Below are 22,454 nucleotides of genomic sequence, written 5' to 3'. Positions count from 1 at the left end.
AAATGGAAGCTCAGCCCTAGGGTGGCAGAAGCAGAAAGACAGAGGGATACTGAGTTCTGATAACCCCAGAATTGCCTTACTAGCCTGAGACCACTTACCTCTGCACTTGTTCTGTATAAGAGAAGAAAGAAGTTGCCATCTTGGTTAAGCCACTGTTAGTTTGGGTTTTGTGTTGCATGTGGCTGACCCTAATTCTTGCTAATAAATTAAGTTTCCTGACTCTTATCTTCAAGACTACGTCATGCCCACAGCCTGGAGGCAGATGGGACAGAGCTGGTTTGCCCAGTCTGTGTTTACAACCCGCTTATAACTTTCCCAAAATCTAGTGTTTTTCGCCCTCTACTCCAGCTTTTCCTGTGGGCCTATGGACGTAAGTGATCTGGTAGCATCAAGGGGGTGTTACAGGAATGGGGTCCAGATTCTGACCCCAAGAGAGGGTTCTTGATCTCATGCAAGAAAGAATTCAGGGCGAGTCCCATAGAGTAAAGTAAAGGCAAGTTTATTAAGAAAGTGCAGGAATAAAAGATTGGCTGCTCCATAGAGCAGCCCTGAGGGCTGCTGGTTGCCCATTTTTATGGTTATTTCTTGAGAATATGCTAAACGAGGAGTGGATTATTTATACCTCCCCTTTTTAGACCATATAGGGTAACTTCCTGATGTTGTCAGGGCATTTGTAAAGTGTCATGGTGCTGGAGGGAGTGTAGCACTGAGGATGACCAGAGGTCACTCTCATTGCCATTTTGGTTTTGGTGGGTTTTTGTGGGGCTTCTTTACTGTCACCTGTTTTATCAGCAAAGTCTTTATGACCTGTATCTTGTGCCGACCTCCTATCTCATCTTGTGATTAGAATGCCTTAACCTCCTGGGAATGCAGCCCAATAGGGCTCAGCTTCATTTTACCCAGCTCCTATTCAAGATGGAGTTGCTCTGGTTCAAACGCCTCTGACAGGAGGACTCCTGAAAAGGGAGATAAAAGACTCTCCTGGGGCCACACCACTTAGCTGGAAGCACTAAGGGACCCCAAACCTCATGTCAGCATGTGCAGTGCCACAGAGGTGAAGCCCACTGCCCTTTTGTAGTCAGCTCTCTCTGTGGCCATGCGCACTCATTCAGGCTCCTCCCTCCTCTCCCTCTTGGCTGGGATCCCCGTTTGCTCCCACTACTTTTCAGCTAGTGCCCTTCCCTTAGCAGGTGAATACCCAGAGGGTGGGCACAAGAATCCGCACTGTGTCTTCCGTCTTACACAGGCATGTCTGACACACGTCACTTTGGCGCTCATGAGGTCCGCTGAGTCTGTGTAGCTTGGTGTGGGTTTTAGCCTATGCCAGATCTCCACTTCTCCTTCCTGTTCTCATCCCCACAGTGTAACTTTGGGCAACTCTCTTTGCATTTTTGGACCTCGCTATTTGCCCACCATAAAATAAATGAGTTGGATTGATCTCTAAGACCTTTCCCAGCTTTTAATCCCCAAGATGGCCAAGGTGGAATGAGCTCAGACAGAGAAAGTCACCAGCACCTAGTCTCCAGCCAGGACTCCGACCTGCCAAGCTGCCTCCTGGCTCCCATATCAGTGCTGGCAGGAGGCAGGCAGGTGGGGGGTTTCTTCCCCACTCTAAAGCCTTCCTTGGGTCCCTGCCAGGTGACATCTCTCACGGGAGCTCAAGTGGAGAGGAGAAGGGGTTGTGCCAGCTGGCTCTCCTCCTCACCTCCCATTACCCAGGTCCTCCAGGGCAGGAAAGCCATGGAAGGGGTGCTTTTAAAACTTAAGGATCTTCCTGAGCTCTTTAGCTGGCAAATGGTGTTAACAGTCCTCCCAGGGCCCTGGAGAGAGAGATTTGAAGGCCGCATTCATTAGCAGAAGCCGCATTAGCGGAGGTGGCCGCCGTGGCTGTGGCTCCGAGCAGGTCTTTGCGAGCGTCCTGATTTCCTGGCCTTCCTGGACAGACTTCTCAACACATTTCAGCATCGATATTTGCGGGCTTAACTTGCCGTGTGGGCCCTGATGAAGTAGCTTGCGGTTTTTAATCTATTCATTCTTTTCACATTAGCTGGGTGTTCCATCTCCTGTTCTGCCAACTCTTCCCTTCAGCCGGTGGTTATCTCAGCTTCCAGCAGTGGGTGGATGGGACTCCTCCCACTCCGAGGGCAGTGAAGCATCCACTGGGAAGCTGTCCTGGCGTCCCCTTCATGGGACATTAGTAAAAGCAGCGACCCAAGTTCTCAGAGTCCTGGATGCCGGCCAGGGGCCTGTTTTGTAGAAAATGACTGATCTTAGTTCCAAGATTCAGTGGATAGTATTTGAGTGAGATACAAGTTCCACCCCAACCCCAGGTCCTGTTGTCCCTGCTCCATCTCCCTAGGATACTGTCTATAGACTCCTTTCGATACTGACTGATGCTTTCCCTAATCCTGAAAAATTCCTAGAGGAGACTCCGCTGTATTTCTTAGAAATGCTTTTTTGTCAGGTCTCAGGACTCCTCAAAGAGAAGAACTTTTTTTTTTTCTTTATAAAATCATACAGCTAGAAGAGCCCCTAGGGATTATCTGGTGTAACCCCCTCCTTTTACAGATGAAAAAACTGAGGCTCAGAGAGGTGATGAGTCAGAGACCCAAATTTGCACAGTTTTCTCAGAGGCTAGGGCTCCTGACTCCCAGGCCACCACCGTTCTTTGACTCCTGATTAGCTCCAGGCAGCTCAAGGCCTGGCTGGAAGCACCAGGCCCTGTTGCATGCTCTAGGCCTCTGATAAAACCAACTCTCTTGAAATTGTTACTACTGTTGGGGCTCTAAGAATTCTCAGAGATTTCATCTAAGAATTTTCCTTTCCAGACTTGACCTTTAAGGATTCATCCTGCTAAGAAATTCTTCCATGGGGATCCTAGGGGGGGCTTGGATACATGCAAGCAAAGGGCCTGGGACTTCTGTGAATGCCTGGCGATCTATGCTTGTGCTTTGTGAGACAGCTGACCTCAGGGTGGGAGTGAAACCATCACTTCGTTGGGTGGGCTCACAGAAGACCTCTTGGGAAGGACAGGGACAGAGGAGAGTTTGGCAGGGGATTGGGAGGCTGCTCTCCCAGATGGCTGCCCGCTGGTATCATACCTCAGTCCTGGGAAGAGGTATTCCTGGACCAAACTGAGGGTCGGGCTGCTATTTCTCATGGCCCAATAACGAGATGCAGATGAACTGGGGAGGAAGAGAGTTTTTATTTCTGCAACTGGTGACAGGGAAAAGACCTGGAAAATATTGCCAGACGAACTCAAAATTACAAAGTTTTCTAGAGCTTACATACTTTCTAAGCTATGTATCTAAGTATAAGTGTACATTCATCTAAAGACATAAGTTGGGCTGGGTGCGGTGGCTCACGCCTGTAATCCCAGCACTTTGGGAAGCCGAGGCGGGCGGATCACGAGGTCAGGAGATCGAAACCATCCTGGCTAACGCGGTGAAACCCCCCCATCTCTCCAAAAAAAAAAAATTAGGCGTTGTGGCGGGTGCCTGTAGTTCCAGCTACTTGGGAGGCTAAGGCAGGAGAATGGCATGAACCCGGGAGGCGGAGGTTGAAGTGAGCTGAGATCGTGCCACTGTACTCCAGCCTGGGTGACAGAGCAAGACTCCGTCTCAAAAAAAAAAAAAGAAAAAAAAAAAAAAGACGTAAGTTGGCTGGGTGCAGTGGTTCATGCCTGCAGTACTTTGGGAGGCCGAGGCAGGCAGATCACCTGAGATCAGGAGTTCGAGACCAGCCTGGCCAACCTGGTAAAACCCCTGTCTCTACTAAAAATACAAAAATTAGCCACACATGGTGGCAGGCACCTGTAATCTTAGCTACTCAGGAGGCTGAGGCAGGAGAATTGCTTGAACCCAGGAGGCAGAGGTTGCAGTGAGCTGAGATCACACCATTGCACTCCAGCCTGGGTGATGATAAGAGCGAAACTTCATCTCAGGAAAAAAAAAAAAAAAAAAAAAGAAAAGACATAAGCGATTAACTTATTTTAATCTATACCTAAGGCCTGAGTCCTGAAGACCTTCCTCTGAAGCCTCAGTAAATTTACTTGATCTAAAATGGGTCCAGGTGCTGGGGTGATTACCCTTATCTTGTCTCGGGCTAAGTCACAGTGGTTTGGCAAGTTTCTTCAGACCCCCAGTAAAACTTGTTTAATCCTAAATGGGTCCTGTTAAGAATTCCTTTGTTATCTTGTCATGCTTTAAGGCCCAGGAAAGGCCTAGGCAAAACTCCTGGTGGGCCTTTGTTACATTCCAGCCTTTGTGTAAGGGTGCTGGCTTTTAATATTTAGCTTAGCCACTCAGTCAGTACTGAAACAGTTGTTATGGAAGCCTGCATCTGTGAGACCTGCCTGCCACAGAAGGACTAGAGTGGAAAGGAAGGGTGTTTGTCATACAAGACCCCCTGCCTGGTGCTGGGGATGCAATGGGATGCTTCCTGCACTCACCAGAACCGTCTGTGGGCCAAAGGGACATGGGATGGATGGGAGAGGGGATTGTCCCCTTGTCCCACCTGACCGCATTAGCAAAGGGGCTTCAGCCAGGTGGCATTGGCATTGTGAGGCTCTGGGGGCCATCAGTAGACAGGGCATGGGTGGCCCTAGGTGGCAATGGCAGCTGGTTTGTCTCAGCCAGATGGCCCCAGAAGCAGTTGTCTGGGGAGGTGATCCCAGGAAGCACTGATAAGGGACTAGGAAATGAGCGTGGAAGGGGAGCAGCTGGCTCTGGGTGTGTTCCAGGCCCACATCCTGCACCTGGATCCCTTCACAGGCCTCAGGGCCAGGTGCACCACATCATTCCAAATCATCCCTCCTGAGGGGTGAGGAGCTGAGATGTTTTAACATCCATAGGGGTTAATTCTCTGGCAGATCCGGCTTCCCCAGATGTGGGCTGTGAACATGCTCCTGGCTCCTGTGAAAGCTCCCAGACTGAGTCATGGGTGTTTGCAGTCAGAAGCCACGGGCGTTGGAACCGTCAAGGCCAAGGCTGAGTAGCTGGGGCACCGACAGTGTCTACTACAGGGGTGGTCCCCTGCCCGGAACTCCATGAGAGATGAAGGCGGCCCAAGCCGACAGGAGAGGGAGAGCAAATAGCGCAGGGCAGCTCCAGAGGCCTGGGGGGGGGCGGGACCCAGGCCAGGATGGGGAGAGCGAGGCACTTGCCTGCAGCCACGTTTAAAAGGGGCAGCCAAATACTCAGGAGTCAAGACCATCACACATAGTCGAAGCAGAGAAAATCTGTGATGAGCAAACTGTCTGCTGTCCACATGTGAAATAAAGACAGGATCTGGCCGGGCTGGGACTAGGGTGTGGGTTGTCCAAGTACAGGGACAAGGCCTGTCTTTAGTCCACATTTGGATATTTTGTTCGTTGTGGATAGTTTTTATTTCATGTTGGTTTCCTAAGAATGCCGCAATAAATATTATCTTGTTTAGTGAGTTTCTGGGGTCCCCCTAAATTTTCTGCCTGGACTGAGGGCCGGACTTGCTTCACTCTAGTCCGGGCCCTGTCGCACCCCTGAGGACTTCCCCCAAAGCTGGGAAGGCTGTGTCAGGGACAGAGCTGGGGCGATTGGAGCCAGGGCGCTGGGTGTGTGCACTCTTCTCTATGCTCCAAACCCTGCTGGCTCCCAAGGGTGAAGCAAATACAATCAGTCCCTGCTGGGAGGAACATGGCTGAATCTCAGAGCTGGAAGGACTAGGAGGTCACCTGGCCCAACTTTTCTCCTAATGCAGGAGGCCCCTCTGCAGCACTCTGGAGGGGAGAAGTGTCTGTTTCAGCCCACTGTGCACAGACAGGCTCTACTGTGTGGGGAATTTGTCTTCTCCGGTGATTGAAGCAGTGAACAATGTCTTCCTTGTCATTGCAGTAGACACCTCGTGGCTTCTCTGACATTGCTTATGGGCATGCTGGGGGCTGTTTAAGACCCTAACCTCTGTCTGCCCTGGGATTCAGGAGAGGTCCAGCCAGGAGGAGACGTGCGGGAGGAATGCAGGAGGCTTATGGGCAAAATAAACAGACCAACCCATCCTGAGAAAAGGAGTCGGAGTGTAGAGTTGGTTCTTGGGCACAGGTGCAGGGCCCGAGGGGAGGGGTCACTTAGTATGGTGGGGAGTGTTTTTTACGTTGTTGCCGTCTCTCTGTCCTGGGGTGTGGAGAAGGTAATGACAGACACAGGAACACACCAGCTGTTCTGGGAACTTCTGTCAGGCAAGGATACAAATACAGAAGCTCATATTGCTCTGTGGCCCACGTACCAGCATGTAATGCAAGGGTGATGGGGTACAGCTGGTGTCTGAGGACGACAGGGCAAAGTTCCAGAGAAGGCAGAGCACCTGGATGGCAAGGTAGAGCAGCTGCAGCCAGACCAGGAGCCACCGGCGAGTGACATGGGACTAGTGTACAGGGGACACCTCCCTTGTACCTGCATGAGCTTGAGGTCTCCCCTCTCCTCCCCTCCCCTGTCCTGCCCTTCCTTCCCCTCCTCTTTCCTTCTCAACTGATGAAACTCCGTTTTCACTCCTGTGTTGGTGTGACCTGGAGAAATATATGAGAAGTTTTCCAAACTGCTGTTGGGGAACGAAATGGAACCCATGAACCCATGAACCCAAAGTGCAGAAAGGGTGTGGTCAGGGGCTATGCTGACTGTCGCAGATGCGGGAGCAGCCCCAGAGCTTCAAAGGAGTGCAAGTTGCAGTGATCATCAGCGCGGTGGCCCCCGCTGTGGGCACGTGGCAGGACACACTCCCCAGCCCTGGAAGTAGGCACGGCTGTGTCTACTCTGTGAGCCAATGTGAGTCACTGCATCCCCTTACCCTGGCTGAGACAGCGTCTCTCGTAGCCATTGAAGTCACTGCAATGAGCAGAGCATCCATGAGCAAGATCATCATGGCATTTACTTAGCTTTTGGGGTTTCTTGTGGTCTGTTTTCACAGCACAGGGTGGCCTATCCTGAGGAGCATAGGAGGATAGGATCCACTTCTACTCGGCACTCATTGGTGCATCATTGTCCAGATGGGGACCCCATGCTATAGATTAGGGTCTTGGTTGCCACTCAGGCATCCATGCTGGGGGTGATGCTCACAGTTTTCCAAAAACAAATGCAAAGACACAGTGGGTTCAACTACCGCCTCCAGGCTGAGACATAAAACCGCCACTCAGATGTAAATCTCCCAGGTTTACCCTTGTATCCAGCTTTAGGCTCAGCTAAAAAAGAAAGTAATTAGTCTTTCTTGATTTCTTCCAACTCAATGGCAAAAAAAAAAAAAAATTCTAGTAAATAAATCTCTGGAACTGGAGAGGCAAAAGAACAAGCTGCATTGTTTACCCCCTCCATGCACTACAACTAATGATAGCAACAAAGAACTCGACTGACTTAGAAATTCTTTGTGATCCTTTAATACCACAGAAAAATAAGCCTGAGACAAGGATGGGGAAGTTGTAGGCACCCATGTGCGCAGGAGTGTGGCTGAATGCCTATTGTGTACCCTCAAGAGCTCTGTGGCATCTTCACAGTAGCAAAGATGATATGCAGACTCACTTGAAGCCAGCTTGATGGACATTGCAGGAGGAGTGTGGAATGACAGGTCACTATCTGGTCACCCACGCTGCACTTGCTGTTTCTTGCAAAGCGGAAATGTGATACTAGTTGAAAGCAGAGGCACAATTTGAAATTTCTTTTTCATTTTCAAGACTCTAGATTCATGGTGGAGTTGATACCTGTCTGTAAATACCCATGAATCTGGGGTTCAAAGGCCACCTGTCTGAGAGTCTGGAGCTGCCGTGGAAGGAAATGTGGAGTTGGATGTGAAAATACTTGTTCTTAGAATTGTTTGGTAGACTTCTGGATGGGCAGTGGCGAGGAGGGTAGCAAGATTTATGAATGGACAGATGGCTGAGAACTCAGTGTTCAAGAGAGAAGGAAAGCCGGGTGCAGTGGCTCATGCCTGTAATCCCAGCACTTTGGGAGGCCAAGGTGGGCAGATCACTTGAGGTCAGGAGTTTGAGACCAGCCTGGCCAACATGGTGAAACCCCATCTCTACTAAAAATACAAAAATTGCCAGGACTGGTGGCATGCCTGTAGTCCCAGTTACTCAGAAGGCTGAGGGAGGAGAATCACCTGAACCCGGGAGGTGGAGGTTGCAGTGAGCCGAGATCGTGCCATTGCACTCCAGCCTGGGCACCAGAGTGACACGCCGTCTCAAAAAAAAAGGAAACTCAGAGATGCAGAAATACCCAACAGATAGGGATGGGAGTGGTGACAGGGAATGCTTAAAAAACAACAGGAGATTATGAAGCAGGACATGTTCTTGGTGGCTACAGAGCATCAGGGACATGAAGACCCGAGACGGTGATGGCTGGAGGCAGATCAGTTAAGTAGGCATGAGACGAGGGAGCAGACCCCTTTGGGGGTGATCTCCAGGCTGAGCACAGACTGTTGGAGAGACAGCAGAGGCTGCATCAGGAGGGAGAGGACGTCTCCTACCCAGGCAAAAGAGACACCCTGCAGGAGCTAGAGCCAGAGAGGAGCCCAAGCAGGTGACGTGGGATGAGAGGACGGAACAGAGGGGCACCAGGAGAGGACTATCTCAAACTCGGGCAAAACATCTCATACCCTCTCTAAAGAGATGGCTCCCACTCAGGGATGACAATGAAGCGTGTCTGCAGTGATGGTGGGGGTGCATGGTGGAGGGAGACTGCTCAGTAGGCATCTATATGACACACACACAGTAGGCACTAAATAAATGCCTGTGGAAACTGATGAATACATTGCAGTAGACACAGTCGTACCAGTTTTGCGCTAGGAGCTGTTGCGTAACGGCAGCTATTCTAGAGAGTTATGGCTGTGATGAAATCAGCTGGGCTGCTGAGCGGCTCAGGAGAGTGAGGGCTGGTAGGTTTGGGACTTGGAGTTTACAATGAAGAGGAAGTGAACTAAACTAGCAGTGACCGCTGTGGCCATCTCTGAACATGAAAATGAGCAGCAGGAAAGGAGTGGGGCAGGGTGAAGCCTCCTCACAAAGACACACTCTAGGGTTGCACAAAGCGGTGGGTTGACTCCCCAGAAAACACCTCTTCGGGCCAGTGCAGAATAAAGGCAAATTCTGGTAAATATTGACCCTGTGCTCTCTGAAATTCAGGCCACTTCTTGCCACCACTGTGCTAGTGATCTCGGACCAGCAGGGTGGACCGGAAGAGGACTTTCGTGTGACTTTGCCATGTCTTGCTAGTGTAGCTAACATTAATTGAGCACTTAACATGCACCAGACATTGTGTAAGTGCTCTACAGGAATTAACTCTTCTAATCCTATGTGCCAGTAATAATTGCCTCGTTTTTACAGCTGAGTCAACTGAGGCACAGAGAGGCCATGAGCTAACCCATGTAGACCCAGGAACTGAGCACAGGCAGGTGGTACCAAGGCTTGTTTTCAGTCCCTTCCCTGTAGCTGCCTCTTCGAGTGCATGCATGTGTGTGGGTGGCTCTGGTTCCATGGAGGGCACGGCCACTGGACCCTTCAATCTTTGATGCTGCTGTTGCCTCCCTACCCGGCTCTGGAAGGCATGAGAGTATGGACTGTGGAATCGCATTTGCTGGGGTTTGGATCCCAGCTCTGCTTCTTAGGATTTGGGCAACCTCATTTATCTCATCTGTATAATTTGTGCTGTGAGGATTAGAGAAAACACATACATACAGTGTTTTGTATGTCTTGTGATGTGTAGTGGGTCTTCTATGAGAAGCCTGCACTCAGTCAACACTTGTTGTTCCTGTCCTAAGAAACATCCCCTGATGGAATTAACCAGTTCCTGCAGTGTGAGCATCTGCCTCTTCTTACCTTGGTTTTGGATCCTAATAGCATCCTTAGAGCTGATTCTTGGTTATGCCTATTATCAGTGCCTGGGATAGATTTCTCCTTGTTCACCCAGTAACTGACCTTGAATGGCCTCTATGGTCCTGACTCTTGAGTCACTGGCTGAATCAATTTGGTGTGTGCCTTCCAGACAGAGGAGGCCCGTGAGTGATGGCTGGGAGAGGAAGGAGCTCCATGCAGTGGGGCAAGTTCAGGCAGCTTGGTTGTGCTGGGGCATAAATTACAGAGAAGAGAGGCTGGAGGGGGCGCCAGTTTCAAGGAAGCCCTTGTGGTACAGCTTAAGGAGCTTGAGCTTGATCCTGCACTCAATGGAATGGAAGCATTTGAGGGTGTTACATAGGAAGGCAACCTGGTTACATCAGGGAGCTCACTCCAGTACCTGTGCGGAAAATGGGTTGGAGGCAAGCAAGACTGGAAGCCAGGATGCCTGCTAGGAAGTTGCTGCTATTGCCTCGGCATCAGCTGAAGGAGGGGCCCTACAGGATTTGGCCTCATTCAACTTCTTGGGCTCACTTCCTGCCTCCCTGCCTCCTGCTCTCTCTGCTCCTGCCTCATTTTCCCCTTGTCATTCCTCAAATTCAACAAGGATGCTCCTGCTGCAGACATTTGCCCTTACTGCAGCCTCCACCAGACACACTTCTCTAAGGTGTGTGCATGGTCTTCAGGTCTCTGCTCAAATACTATCTTACTGGGAAGGGTTTCTTAAGCACTCTGCAATAAATAACTCCTTGACTCCCTCACTTTCTAGCCTTTGATCCTACTCTATTATTTTCTTTACTTTCTCTCTTTATTTTTAGAGACAGGGTCTCACTCTGTTGCCCAGGCTGGAGTGCAGTGGTGCAATCCTAGCTCACCTGCAGCCTTGAGCTCTTGGGCTCAAGGGATCTTCCTGCCTCAGCTAGGACTATAGGCCTGAGGCACTGCACCTGTCTTCGGCTTCTCTGTTATTTTCTTCCTCAGCACTTATCACTACATGATATTATATTTATCCATTTGTTTATTATCTGTCTCACTGCACTATAATATAAGCTACTCCAGGCAGGGCCAGTGGCTATTTTGTTCACTGCTGTCTTTATACAGGTAGACCCTCAATAAGCATCGAATGAGTGAATGAATCCAAGTGATAACTTAATATGAGGGTGGCTCAACCTAATCTGCAATGAGCAGGGAGGCATTTCAGGGAAGGATTCAGTACTGCCTGTCTGCACTCACTGGCAAACATCTGATTTTTAGTTCTAAGCACTAAAGGCAAGTCTCCTTCATGGGTCCCGGGGACTGGTTCATCATTAGAAATAAATCCCCCATAGCCTTGTGCAGGTAGTTTGTAGGGACAGGCTTGCACAGATAGTTGGGGAGCAGCTGGACTCCTGTGCAGACAGTTTGTGGGTTGTTCCTCCTGCGATGACATTGTTCTTCAGTGGTAAGTAATTAGAGCCTCAGGGCCACCTCTCATTTTGTGGATAAGCACGGCTCCAACACTTTAGGCGAAGTGCCCATGATAAGAAACAGAACATTGCAATGTGCTCGCACAAAGCAAAAAGTCAATAACTGCTTGACATTCTGAGAAGCAGATGTTCACTGGTAGATCCAACACCTTGGAAGGTCTTTTCTCAGTGGGCACTAAAGTGGTTCAACGATGGTTGCCTTTTATGGAAGATAAAATGAATGAAAAGCCCTGGGCAGGTTGGAAGCTTTTGTCCAGTTTTGGGGGCAATGCAATCAGGTTTGCATGAATTTCATCTTAGGACAGGTGAATGCAAACAGCATTAATTCATTAGCCTAAGGAAGTGACGATGGAAGTTATGATGTCACAGGTTTTCTCATCTGGATACTAGATGATTTAAAGGGACTTATTTCTTGGATGATCCTGTAAATTGGAGGACTGCATTGAAAAGTGGTCTTGCACCAGGAATCCTATGAAGTATAGTTTCCATGAAACTGTAGGAAATTGAAGCAGTCCTCAGAAATTCTGAACTGAAGATGCCATGTTCAGGGTCACTCTGGGTGAGTGACAAGTATCTAGACAACTATTACTGATGTGGATAAATTTGGGGAATTTCTTTTTGCTGGTAAGACTTTTCCTCCAACTGGAATTTCAAGTGGTTAATGGTAGAGACCTCAAGTGCATTGTATACAGATCTTAAGGAAGCAGGGGAGGAAACAGAATTCTTGAGAGTCTTCTGTTAGCAACAGTATGATAGGTACTTTCTATACTTTAAAAATTTAACTTTCTTAACAACCCTACAAAATAGATACTATTATCCCAAATTTACAGATGAGAAAACTGTGGCTTAGAGCAGTTAAAAAAAATTCTCAAGACCACACAGCTAAAAAAATGGCAAGACTGGGTTCCCTACCCCCTGCCATATGCAATATGCCTTCTGAGCACCCGCATGCACATCTATCATCCGATTACTACTGAACTGTTAGGCTTCTGTATGAGCATGATCTATGCATTTAAGGAGGTGGTTTAAGGAGAATTTTGGGGGGTGGGTATAACAATGGGGGTGGGTATGATAACAATGCTGATTCGATTCTCAAGCTCTAACATTTCTTTCCATGGAAGAGAAAGCAAAAGTTGTTTCTAGGGATTGAAGGTAATTGAAGGAAAGGTTAGGTCAAGTTAGGACTGTGATATTTTCCTCTTACATAGTCTGTGTTCCTTAGTAATCACTGACAACTGTAACCTAGAGGTACTGATGACTTTGGACTCTGACAGCTAATGGTATGAGGCCAGGCTTTGCGTTTCCTCTATGCTATCAAGAAGCTTCTCCTCCTAAGATGATATGCCTTAATGTTAATAGTCTTCAGCAACACAAACTGAGTGACTATTTCAGTTTACTATAAAAAATAAAAACACAAGGTGGGAGCTACTGCCTTCTGGTAGTAGTGTAGTAATTTGGTCACAGTAAGTCTTCCACAGATGACAATTATAAACTCTGAGCAAAACACAAAACAGCACAGAGGAATACCCAAAAGTAGGCAGAAACCAGAGGTGAGTCTGCCCTTGTGAGACCGCATGAATGATATTTGTGAGTTGGAAGCGTTTTGCCTGGAACTCCCAAATCTGTGCATAAATTGAGGTGGTAGAAAGCTACAACTGTATTGGCTTGAGGTATCAGAGGACAGCATTCCGGACAGGAAGAAAGAAAGTTGGCCGGGTGCAGTAGCTTACTCCTGTAATCCCAGCACTTTAGGAGGCCAAGGTGGATGGATCACCTGAGGTCAGGAGTTCAAGACCAGCCTGGCCAACATGGTGAAACCCCATCACTACTAAAAATACAAAAATTAGCCAGGCATGGTGGTGGGCGCCTGTAATCCCAGCTACTTGGGAGGCTGAGGCACAGAATCGCTTGAACCCAGGAGGCGCAGAAGGTTGCAGTGAGCTGAGATCATGCCACTGCACTCCAGCCTGGGTGACAGAGCAAGACTCTGTGTCAAAAAAAAAAAAAAAAAAAGTTAAGAAGGAAATACTTGAAGGAAGTGTGCCTCAAAGGAGGAGAGCCCAAAATACATATGAGATTCACCCAAATTCTTGGCACATCTAAGATATGTATATTGAGAAGAGACTTGACAATTTTTTGGGTGGATTTGATAATGATATTGGTCTAATAATAATGATAAGGATCAGGAAAAAAAAAAGCAACTGGAAGTGGAAGAAACTGGTGGAGATTTTAGTTGCTACTGGTCAAGGGGGAGATGATTTTTGGAGATTGAGATACTCAATTGGCTTGCATGACTGAATAAATTGACAGAAAAACAAAACAGACTTCAGAGTCTTTACAGTGTATTTAAAAAAAATGTTTAGTATCCAATCAGAAATCACTAGACACATAAATAGGAAAATGTTGCCTCTACCAAAAAAAAAAAATCCCATCAGTAGAAATCAACCCCAGGATGATCCAAATGTTGCAATTAGTAGATAAGGAATTGAAAACAGCTATTATAAATATGCTCAAAGACTTAAAATATATACATATGGAAAATACATACAAAATGAGAAATCACAGTAAAGAAATAGAAATTATCATAGAGAGCCAAATGGAAATTCTAGAGTAATGCTGTTCAAAGAACTTTTGCAGCAATGGAACTGTTCTATATCAGCACTGTCTAACACAATAGTCACTAGCCTCATGTGGCTCTTGAGCACCTGAAATGTAGCTGCTGTGAATGAACCAAAAATTAATTAGAATTTTAAAAGGCACACAGTGATTACATTATTGGGCAGTACAGTTTTACACTTAAAATGTATATAACTGAAATAAAAGAATCCCTTGAATCATTCAGTAGTAGATTGGAAATGGAAGAAGAAAGAGTCAGTGACCTTGAAGGTAGGTCAATAGAAAGTATCCAGTGGAAAAATACAGAGAAAGAAAGTAATAGAAATGCACAGAACCTCATAAATATGTGGAAAATATCAAGCTAAAATATGTGTAATTGGAGTACTAGAAGGAGAGGGGACAGAAAATCAGGCAGAAAAATATTTGTAGAAATAATGACTGAAAATCCCCAAAATCTAGTGATGAATTTATAGATCCAAAAAGCTCAATGAATCCCAAGTAGAATAAATACAAAGTGGACCACATCTAGGCCCGTCATAATCAAATAGCTAAAATCTGAAGACAAAGGAACAACTCTTGAAAACAGAGAAAAACACCACCACATTCAATTACAAGATACTAATGGTGCCTGACATCTCATCAGAGACAAAGGAGGTTGAAGATAGGGGAACAATAACTTTAAAGTGCTGAAAGGAAAAGAAAAGAACCTACTACCCAGAATTCTACACCCAGCTAAATTGTCTCTCAAAAAATAAAAACAAAATAATCTGCTCAGGCTACCATAACAAAATACTGCAGACTGGGCAACTTAACCAACAGAAATTTATTTTCTAACAGTTCTGGAGGGTGGAAGTCTGAGGTCAGGGTGCCAGCATGGTGGGGTTCTGGTGAGGGCTTTCCTCCTGGCTTTCAGGTGGTCATCTTCTCATTGTGTTCTCACATGGCCTTGTCTAGGTTTGTGCTCATGGAGAGAGAGAATGAACTCTCTTCCTCTTCTTTTAAGCCACCAATCCTATCAGATTAGGACCCTACTCTTATGACCTCATTTAACCTTAATTACCTCCTATATCTCAGCCCTATCTCAAAATACAATCACATTGAGAGTTAAGGTTTCAACATGAGAAGTTTTAGGGAACACAGTTCAGTCCATAGCAGAAATACATTTTTTTTTTTTTTTTTTTTTTTAGTTGGAGTCTCACTCTGTTGCTCAGGCTGAAGTGCAGCGGCATAATCTCAGCTCACTGGAATCTCTGCCTCCCAGGATCAAGTGATCCTCCCACCTCAGCCTCCCAAGTAGCTGAGACTACAGGTGTGCATCACCATGGCTGGCTAACTTTTGTATTTTTAGTAGAGACGGGGTTTCATCATGTTGGCCAGGCTGGTCTCAAACTCCTGACCTCAGCTGATCTGCCTGCCTCAGCCTCCCAAAGTGCTGGGATTACAGGCATGAGCCACTGCTCCTAGCCTCATAGCAGAAATAAATTTATCAAAAGGTCTGCAAGGTCTGTATACATAAAACTACAAAATACTATTGAGACAAATGACAGGTTCTGTAATAATTTCCATAATGTATTTTTGTATTTCTATAATAATTATCTCTGTAATAAATGGAGAGACATACCATGTTCAAGAATTAGATGACTCAATATTGTTAAGATGTAAATTCTCCCCAATTATATTTCAATTCAATCCCAATCAAAACTCCTCCAGACTTTTATAAAATAGAAATTGATAATATGCTTTTAAAATTCATAAGGAAAAACAGAAGACCTAGAATAACCAACCAGTCTTGAAAAAGAAGATCAATGCTAGGAAACTTATACTTTCTAAACTTAAGACTCACTGTAAAGTAATTAAAACAGTATAATAGTAGACAAACTGGTCAATAAAAAAGAATAGGCCAGAAAGAGATTTACATGATCAATTGATTTTTGACAGTGGGACTAAAACATTTACATGGATAAAGAAAAGTCTTTTAACAAGCGCTGTTAGAACAACTTGGTGTCTACATGGGAGAATAAAAGAGAATTTCAACCTTTATCTCACACAACATACAATAATTAATATAAGATGAATGATAGACCCAAACATTAAAGCTAACATTTAAAAGCTTTTAGGAAAAAAAGAATATCTTTGTAATCTAGGGTAAGAAAAGTTTTTTGTTGTTGTTGTTGTTTTTTTACAAGACACAGAAAATAATAACTGTAAGAGAAGAAAATGGATAAATTCTTAAAATTAAAAACTTCTCATCAAAAGACACAATTAAGAAAATAGCAAGCCACAAACTGGGAGAAAACATTCACAAAATATGTATCTGATAAAGGATTTATATTTAGAATACAAAATCAACATCTAAAAGTCAATAATGAAAAGAAAATCAACTCGCTAGAAAATGGTGAAAGGATTTTAAGAGACACCTTACCAAAGAAGATTTATGAATGGACAATAAGCACATATAAAAGAGCTCAACATTGTATTCATTATCAAGTACATGCAAATTAAAGCCATAAAAAGATATACTACATAGTCACACCTACTGGAAAGTCTAAAGTGGAAAGACTTTCAACAAGAAATGTTGACAAGGATGTGAAGCAACTAGAAGTCTTATGTGCTTTGTGGGAGTGCAAAATGTTATAGCCACTTTCAAGAAAGTTTTGGCAATTTCTCATAAAGTTAATCATGTACCTATCTTTTGACCCAGTAAATCTACTTCTAGGTGTTTATCCAAGAGCAAGGAAAACATACGTCCAAAAAGTCCTATGTGTAATTATTCATTACAATCCTATTAATAATAACCCAAATTGGGAAGAGTGCAAATGTCCTTCAACAGAAGAGTAGATACACAAGTGTGGAATAAACCTACAAGGGAAAACTGCTGAGCAACAAAAAAGGAACTAGTGGTTCATGCAACAACATGGAATAATCTTACTGTAGTTAAGCAGATAGAATTAATCCAGACATAAAACTGTATATACCATATGGTTTTATTTATATACATTTTTAGAACCAGTACAACAAATCTATGGTGAAAAAAAATTTGAGTAGTGGTTGCCTGACAAAGGTGGGGGATATTGACAGGGAAGAAACACTATAGATTATTCTAATAAGATGAAAATGTCTATATTAGGCCATTTTTGCATTGCCATAAAGAAATACCTGAGGCTGGGTAATTTATAAAGAAAAGAGGTTTAATTGGCTCATAGTTCTGCAACCTGTACATGAGGCATGGCCCCAGCATCTGCTTCTGGTGAGGGCTTCAGGAAGTTTACAATCATGGTGGAAAGTGAAGGTGGAGCTGGCATATCATATGGTGTGAGAGAGAGTAAGAGACAGCAAGAGGAAAAGTGCTATATGCTTTTAAACAACCAGATCTCTTGCAAACTCAGATTGAGAACTCACTTATCACCAAAGGGATGGTGCAAAGCCATTCATGAGGGATCTACCACCATGATCCAATCACCTCCTAATAGGCCCCATCTCCAACACTGGGAATCATGTTTCAACATGAAATTTGGAGAGGACAAACACCCAAACCATATCATTCTGCCTCTGATCCCCCAAATCTCATGTTCTTCTCACGTTTCAAAATACAGTCATGACTTTGCAATAATCCTCCAAAATCTTAACTCATTCCAGTATTAACAGTCCCAAGTCAAAAGTCTAAAGTCCAAAGTCTCATCTTTCCACCTACAAACCTGAGATCAAAAACAAGTTATTTACTCCCAAGAAACAATGGTGGTGCAGGCATCGGGTATACATTCCCATTCCAAAAGGGATAAATCTACCAAGAGAAAGGGGCAACAAGTCTGAAACCCAATAGGGCAGTCATTAAATCTCAAAGCTCTAAAATCTTGAAATGACATTCCACGTTCAGGGCACAGTGGTGCAAAGGGTGGGCTCCCAAGGCCTTGGGCATCTCTGCCCCTGGGGCTTTCCAGGGTGCAGTCCCCATGGCTGCTGTCATGGGTTGGAGTTGAGCTCCTGTGGCTTTTCCAAGCTGAGGATGTAAGCTTCCAGTGGCTCTACCATTCTGGGATCTAGAGGGTGGTGGCCCCCTTCCCACAGCTTCATTAGGCAGTGAACTGTGTGGGAGTTCCAACCCCACATTTCCCCTTTGCATTTCCCTAGTAGAGTTTCTCTGTGGGGGCTTTGCCCCTGTGGCAGCTTCTGCCAGGCACCCAGGCTTTTCCATACATGCTCTGAAATCTAAATAGAAGCCACCAAGCCTTCTTTATGCTTGCATTCTGAGCACCTGCAAGTTCAACACCATGTGGAACCCACCAAGGCTTATGGCTTGCACCCTCTAGAGTGGTGGCCAGAGCTGTACCTGGGCCCCTTTGAGCTGAGGCTGGAGCAGCTGTGATGCAGGGAGCAGTGTCCTGAGGTTGAGCAGCACAATGGGGCCCCAGGCCTTGCTCCTGCAAACATTCTTTCCTCTTAGGCCTCTGGGCCTGTGATGGCAGGGGCTGCCTAGAGGATCTCTGAAATGCCTTCAAGGCCTTTTCCTCATTGTCTTGGATACTAGCACTTGGTTCCCTTTTACTCATGAGAATCTCTCTAGCAAGTGGTTGCTCTGCAGCCTGCTTGTTTTATCTCCTGAAAATGCTTTTCCCCCACTCCCAATCACATGGCCAGGCCACAAATTTTCCAATCTTTTACACTCTGCTTCCCTTTTAAGTTGGAACTTAAAGTTCCAACTTTAAGTCATTCCTTTGTCCTGAATCTGATAGTAGGTTGTTAGAAGCAACCACACTACTTCTTGAATGCTTTGCTACTTAGAAATTTCTTCCACCAGATACCCTAAATCATCACTCTTAAGTTCAACTTTCACAGATCCCTATGACCTGGATACCATGCAGCCAAGCTCTTTGCTAGGGCTTAACACAGGTGACCCTCACTCCAGTTCCCAATCTGTTCCTCATTTCCATCTGAGACTTTGTCAGCCTGGCCTTCACCGTCCATATTCCCTCAGTATTTTGGTCATAGTCACTTAACAAGTCTCTAAGAAGTTCAAAGCTTTCCCTCATCTTTCTGTCTTCTTCTGGGCCCTCCAAACTCTTCCAACCTTGCCTGTTACCCAGTTCCAAAGCTGTGTCCACATTTTCAGGTATCTGTATAGCAACACTCCACTCCTAGGCACCAATTTTGTGTAGTAGGCTATTTTTGTGTTGCTATAAAGAAATATCTGAGGCTGAGAAATTTATAAAGAAAGAAGTTTCATTGGCTCATGGTTCTGCAGGTTGCATACAAAGCATTGCACCACCATCTGCTTCTTGCAAAGACTTCAGGAAGTTTTCAATTACGGTAGAAGGTGAAAGTAGAGCCAGTGTACCACATGGTGAGAACAGGAACAAGAGAGAGCAATGGGGGGAGGTACCACACACTTTTAAACAACCAGATCTCTTGTGAACTCAGAGTAAAAGCTCACTTATCACCAAGGAGGTAGTGCTAAGCCATTCGTGAGGGATCTACCCTATGATCCAATACCTACCACAAGGCCCACCTCCAACATTGGAAATCACATTTCAACATGAGATTTGGAGGGGACAAACACCCAAACCCCATCAATGTCCTATATTGTAGTGGGGAGTTGGGTTACATGGCCGTATCCATTTGTCAAACTTGTAGAGGGAAGATTTTTGTGCATTTCAATGTATATAAATCTTATCTAAAAAACTGCAAAATAAAACCCAATAATCTAGTGTAGAGGTGTTGAGTAGGAGGGATAGATGAAACCAGAATGACAAAACAATGTTGATAATTGTTGAAGCTTCGTGATGGGTTCATGGGGATTCATCACACTCTTCTGTTTATTTGTACATATTTGTCCTTTCTTATAGTAAAAAAGTGAAAGAAAAAAATGCGGAGGATTTCACATACTTTGGCTCAGGGCCTTGTTGGAAATGATCAGAGAAATGTCCTTCGAGTGAAGCCCGAAGCCGCCAGCATTGGTGTCTTCTGACCCTCCTGGCTGTTTGTATACACCTGCAAGGACTGTAATATCCGGAGGCGTCTTGCCAAGAATTGTCTGAAAATGCCTCCCTCCTGGGCTTTGCTGTCATGTGAGGAGTCAAGATTCACTGGTGTCAGGGATGTGAGGTTCTTTGACAGTTTTCCAGGCTTCTTCTGACAAAGTTTTGAACCGACTCTTCCTCAAGGTGACCTATCTTCAGCAGAGCTGGATCTTTTCTTCCTCAACTCTGTCAGGAGCAGGAGTGGGAGCTGGTCGCCTGGACCAGGCTGCAGAGCTGAGGCACCCAGCACTTTTTCTGCTCTGTGGTTCTTACTCTCAAGAACTGAGAGGAGTCAGTTATGTTAGAAGCAGCTTTCTCCAATTCCGGGGTTTATGCCTTTTCCTTGCTCAGGACCTAGTATTGCATCATTTGTTATCCATGGCAATTTTGGTTCACTCAAGAGCCACTGCCAGAAAGTTGTCTTTCCCCACCCCCAGCAGCAAAGCAGCCCCCAAACAAGTCATCTTAGGAATTCCTCAATTCCTGCAGATGGGAAGGAGACAGCCACAGCGCAGCTCACGATGGAAGCAGCACTGTCTTCCCCAGGCTACAGCCTCCATTTGTAAAATTCAAAGCCATGCACAGAGACTGGGGGTGTGGAGCCTGTAAACCCTTTCAAGAAAAAAATAAAATAAAAACAAGCATCATAAGTAAATATCAAAACTAAGAGAGATTTAGGATGCTGGTGAGAAATGTTTTCTATTTAATCTGACCAAGTTATCTAATATCAAGTCTTAAGTGATGCTGGGAGCTGCGAATGGTCATCTCACTCTTCCAGGGGTTTGTCCTTCCTCTCCACCCCCCAGCAAACCCCACACCTGTCGGGCTCAGCGGCATCCTTGCTTACCCACCTTCACCTGAGCTTGCATATAGATGCGATGCAGGCATTTCAACACATGCATTTACCATCTCCCAGGGAAGGTGCTTGGTTTTGTTCATTTGGAAAATTCAAAAACTTTAAAAATTATTCAAAACTTTAAAATATATGTACAAATTAATAATTGAAAACTCACATCCCTAACCCCACTCAGCTCTTTTCCCATGCCCTCTCCCACAAATAACCACTGAAAAAAACTAGCACATTGTTAGCACCCGGGTTTTTTTCTTCTTGTGTACTTTTTGGATCAGGGTGGGGCAAATAAAGAGATAAACCCTAGGAAAGAAGTTGGTCAACATAAACTCTTCAGTACGGCTCCCTCCCTGCACCCCCAGCTGTGATTTTCATCCTGAGGTGTGTCCCCAGGGAGGTGGCGGAGGCAGCTGTACTCAGCGGCTTCTCTGTAGTGCTGGAGAGTGAATTAATCCTGCCTGCCATTGCAAGCAGATTCTTATCCACATTATCAGAAAAGATAGCAGGAGGAAGCCGGCAAGGGTGAGCAGGCCACCAAGCAGACGGTCCTTTATTGTGGCAAACTGCTCCTTTAATTTCTGTGACAGAGTAATACAGAGTCCCAGGCTATGACCTTTTCTCAGGCCATTATGGAAGTCAGATTTGGCTCTGTCAGGAGGCATCATTGGAAGGCTTCATCACACACTCCACACATAATGTGACCCCGCGAAGTGCTGGATAAAAATGGATGGGTGGATCCCACTCTTCCCCAAGCAGCACACACAGCAGGAGAGCCCAGACAGGCGGCAATGTGTGCTGGTACGTGGGCCTGCAGCTACCCTGGACCACACTGCCCTAGACAGGTGGTGGAGGGGAAGCAGAGGTGGAGGGCCCAGCGCTGAGCTGGGCTGAGCTGGGCTGGGCTGGGCTGGGCTGGGCTGGCAGGAACGAGGAAGGAGGAAATGAACTTGATGTTGCACCCTCTGAATAAGCTGCTGGGGCGCCCAAATCACCCCACACTGCAGCAAGGTACGTCCTGAACTCCTGCTGGCCAGAGCTTAGAGGAGCTCAGGGTATCCTTGGACTTGGCAGCTGTCTGGGACGTTGGAAGGCCTCTAGGAAAGAGGCCTAGGACTGTCAGGGGAATTGCCTGCAGCCACGGAGCCAGCCAGTGGCTTAAGTGTCCTGGAACCTGGGTCTCGTGTCCCCTACTCCCATGTTTATGCTTAATCCTGGGTGCTAAGAAGATTGGCAAGAGGAGGAGTGAGGCGGGAAGAAGACAGGCAACTGTTGACTCCAGGGAAGCCATCTTCGGAGGCAAAACCCTAGTGTCCCAGCAGCATTCCACAGAACCTGTTTTGTAGGCAAACGTTCCCACTGCTCCCAGAGGCCTCAGCCCTGAATTGAACAGTCCCAGGAGGCCAAGGCCTGCAGGGGGCACTGTTGGTTCTGTTGAGGCCCTGATGGTGCTCAGCTGGGCCTGGGGGGAGGCGTGAAGATACAAAAGCACCAGGAACTGGCAGCAAGGCTATCCAGCGTGGCCTAACTTGGAGAGACCCCTGTTCTAATTGCAGCTCTGTCACTAAGTCGCCCAGATGACCTTGGGCAAGGAGTAGTTTCTTTGCCTTCATCATCGGCCTCATCATCATCAGCCTTTATGCAGCACTTGCTATGTGGAA

The 22,454-nt window shown here is 46.2% G+C and overlaps 2 annotated features.

The window, feature by feature from the left end:
- Positions 3,943 to 4,640: an enhancer, noted in NCBI's record as "NANOG-H3K4me1 hESC enhancer chr17:71970489-71971186 (GRCh37/hg19 assembly coordinates)". NCBI's record gives its function as "activates a minimal SCP1, AML or CMV promoter by ChIP-STARR-seq in primed H9 embryonic stem cells {active_cell/tissue: H9 hESC(primed)}" and the evidence as "EXISTENCE:reporter gene assay evidence [ECO:0000049][PMID:30033119]".
- Positions 4,641 to 5,340: an enhancer, noted in NCBI's record as "H3K4me1 hESC enhancer chr17:71969789-71970488 (GRCh37/hg19 assembly coordinates)". NCBI's record gives its function as "activates a minimal SCP1, AML or CMV promoter by ChIP-STARR-seq in naive H9 embryonic stem cells {active_cell/tissue: H9 hESC(naive)}" and the evidence as "EXISTENCE:reporter gene assay evidence [ECO:0000049][PMID:30033119]".

Source organism: Homo sapiens, chromosome 17, assembly GCF_000001405.40.
Source record: "Homo sapiens chromosome 17, GRCh38.p14 Primary Assembly".
NCBI classification, from domain to species: Eukaryota; Metazoa; Chordata; class Mammalia; order Primates; family Hominidae; genus Homo; species Homo sapiens.
The sequence above is the reverse complement of the archived record's forward strand: the minus strand, read 5'-3'. Positions and strand labels throughout refer to the sequence as shown.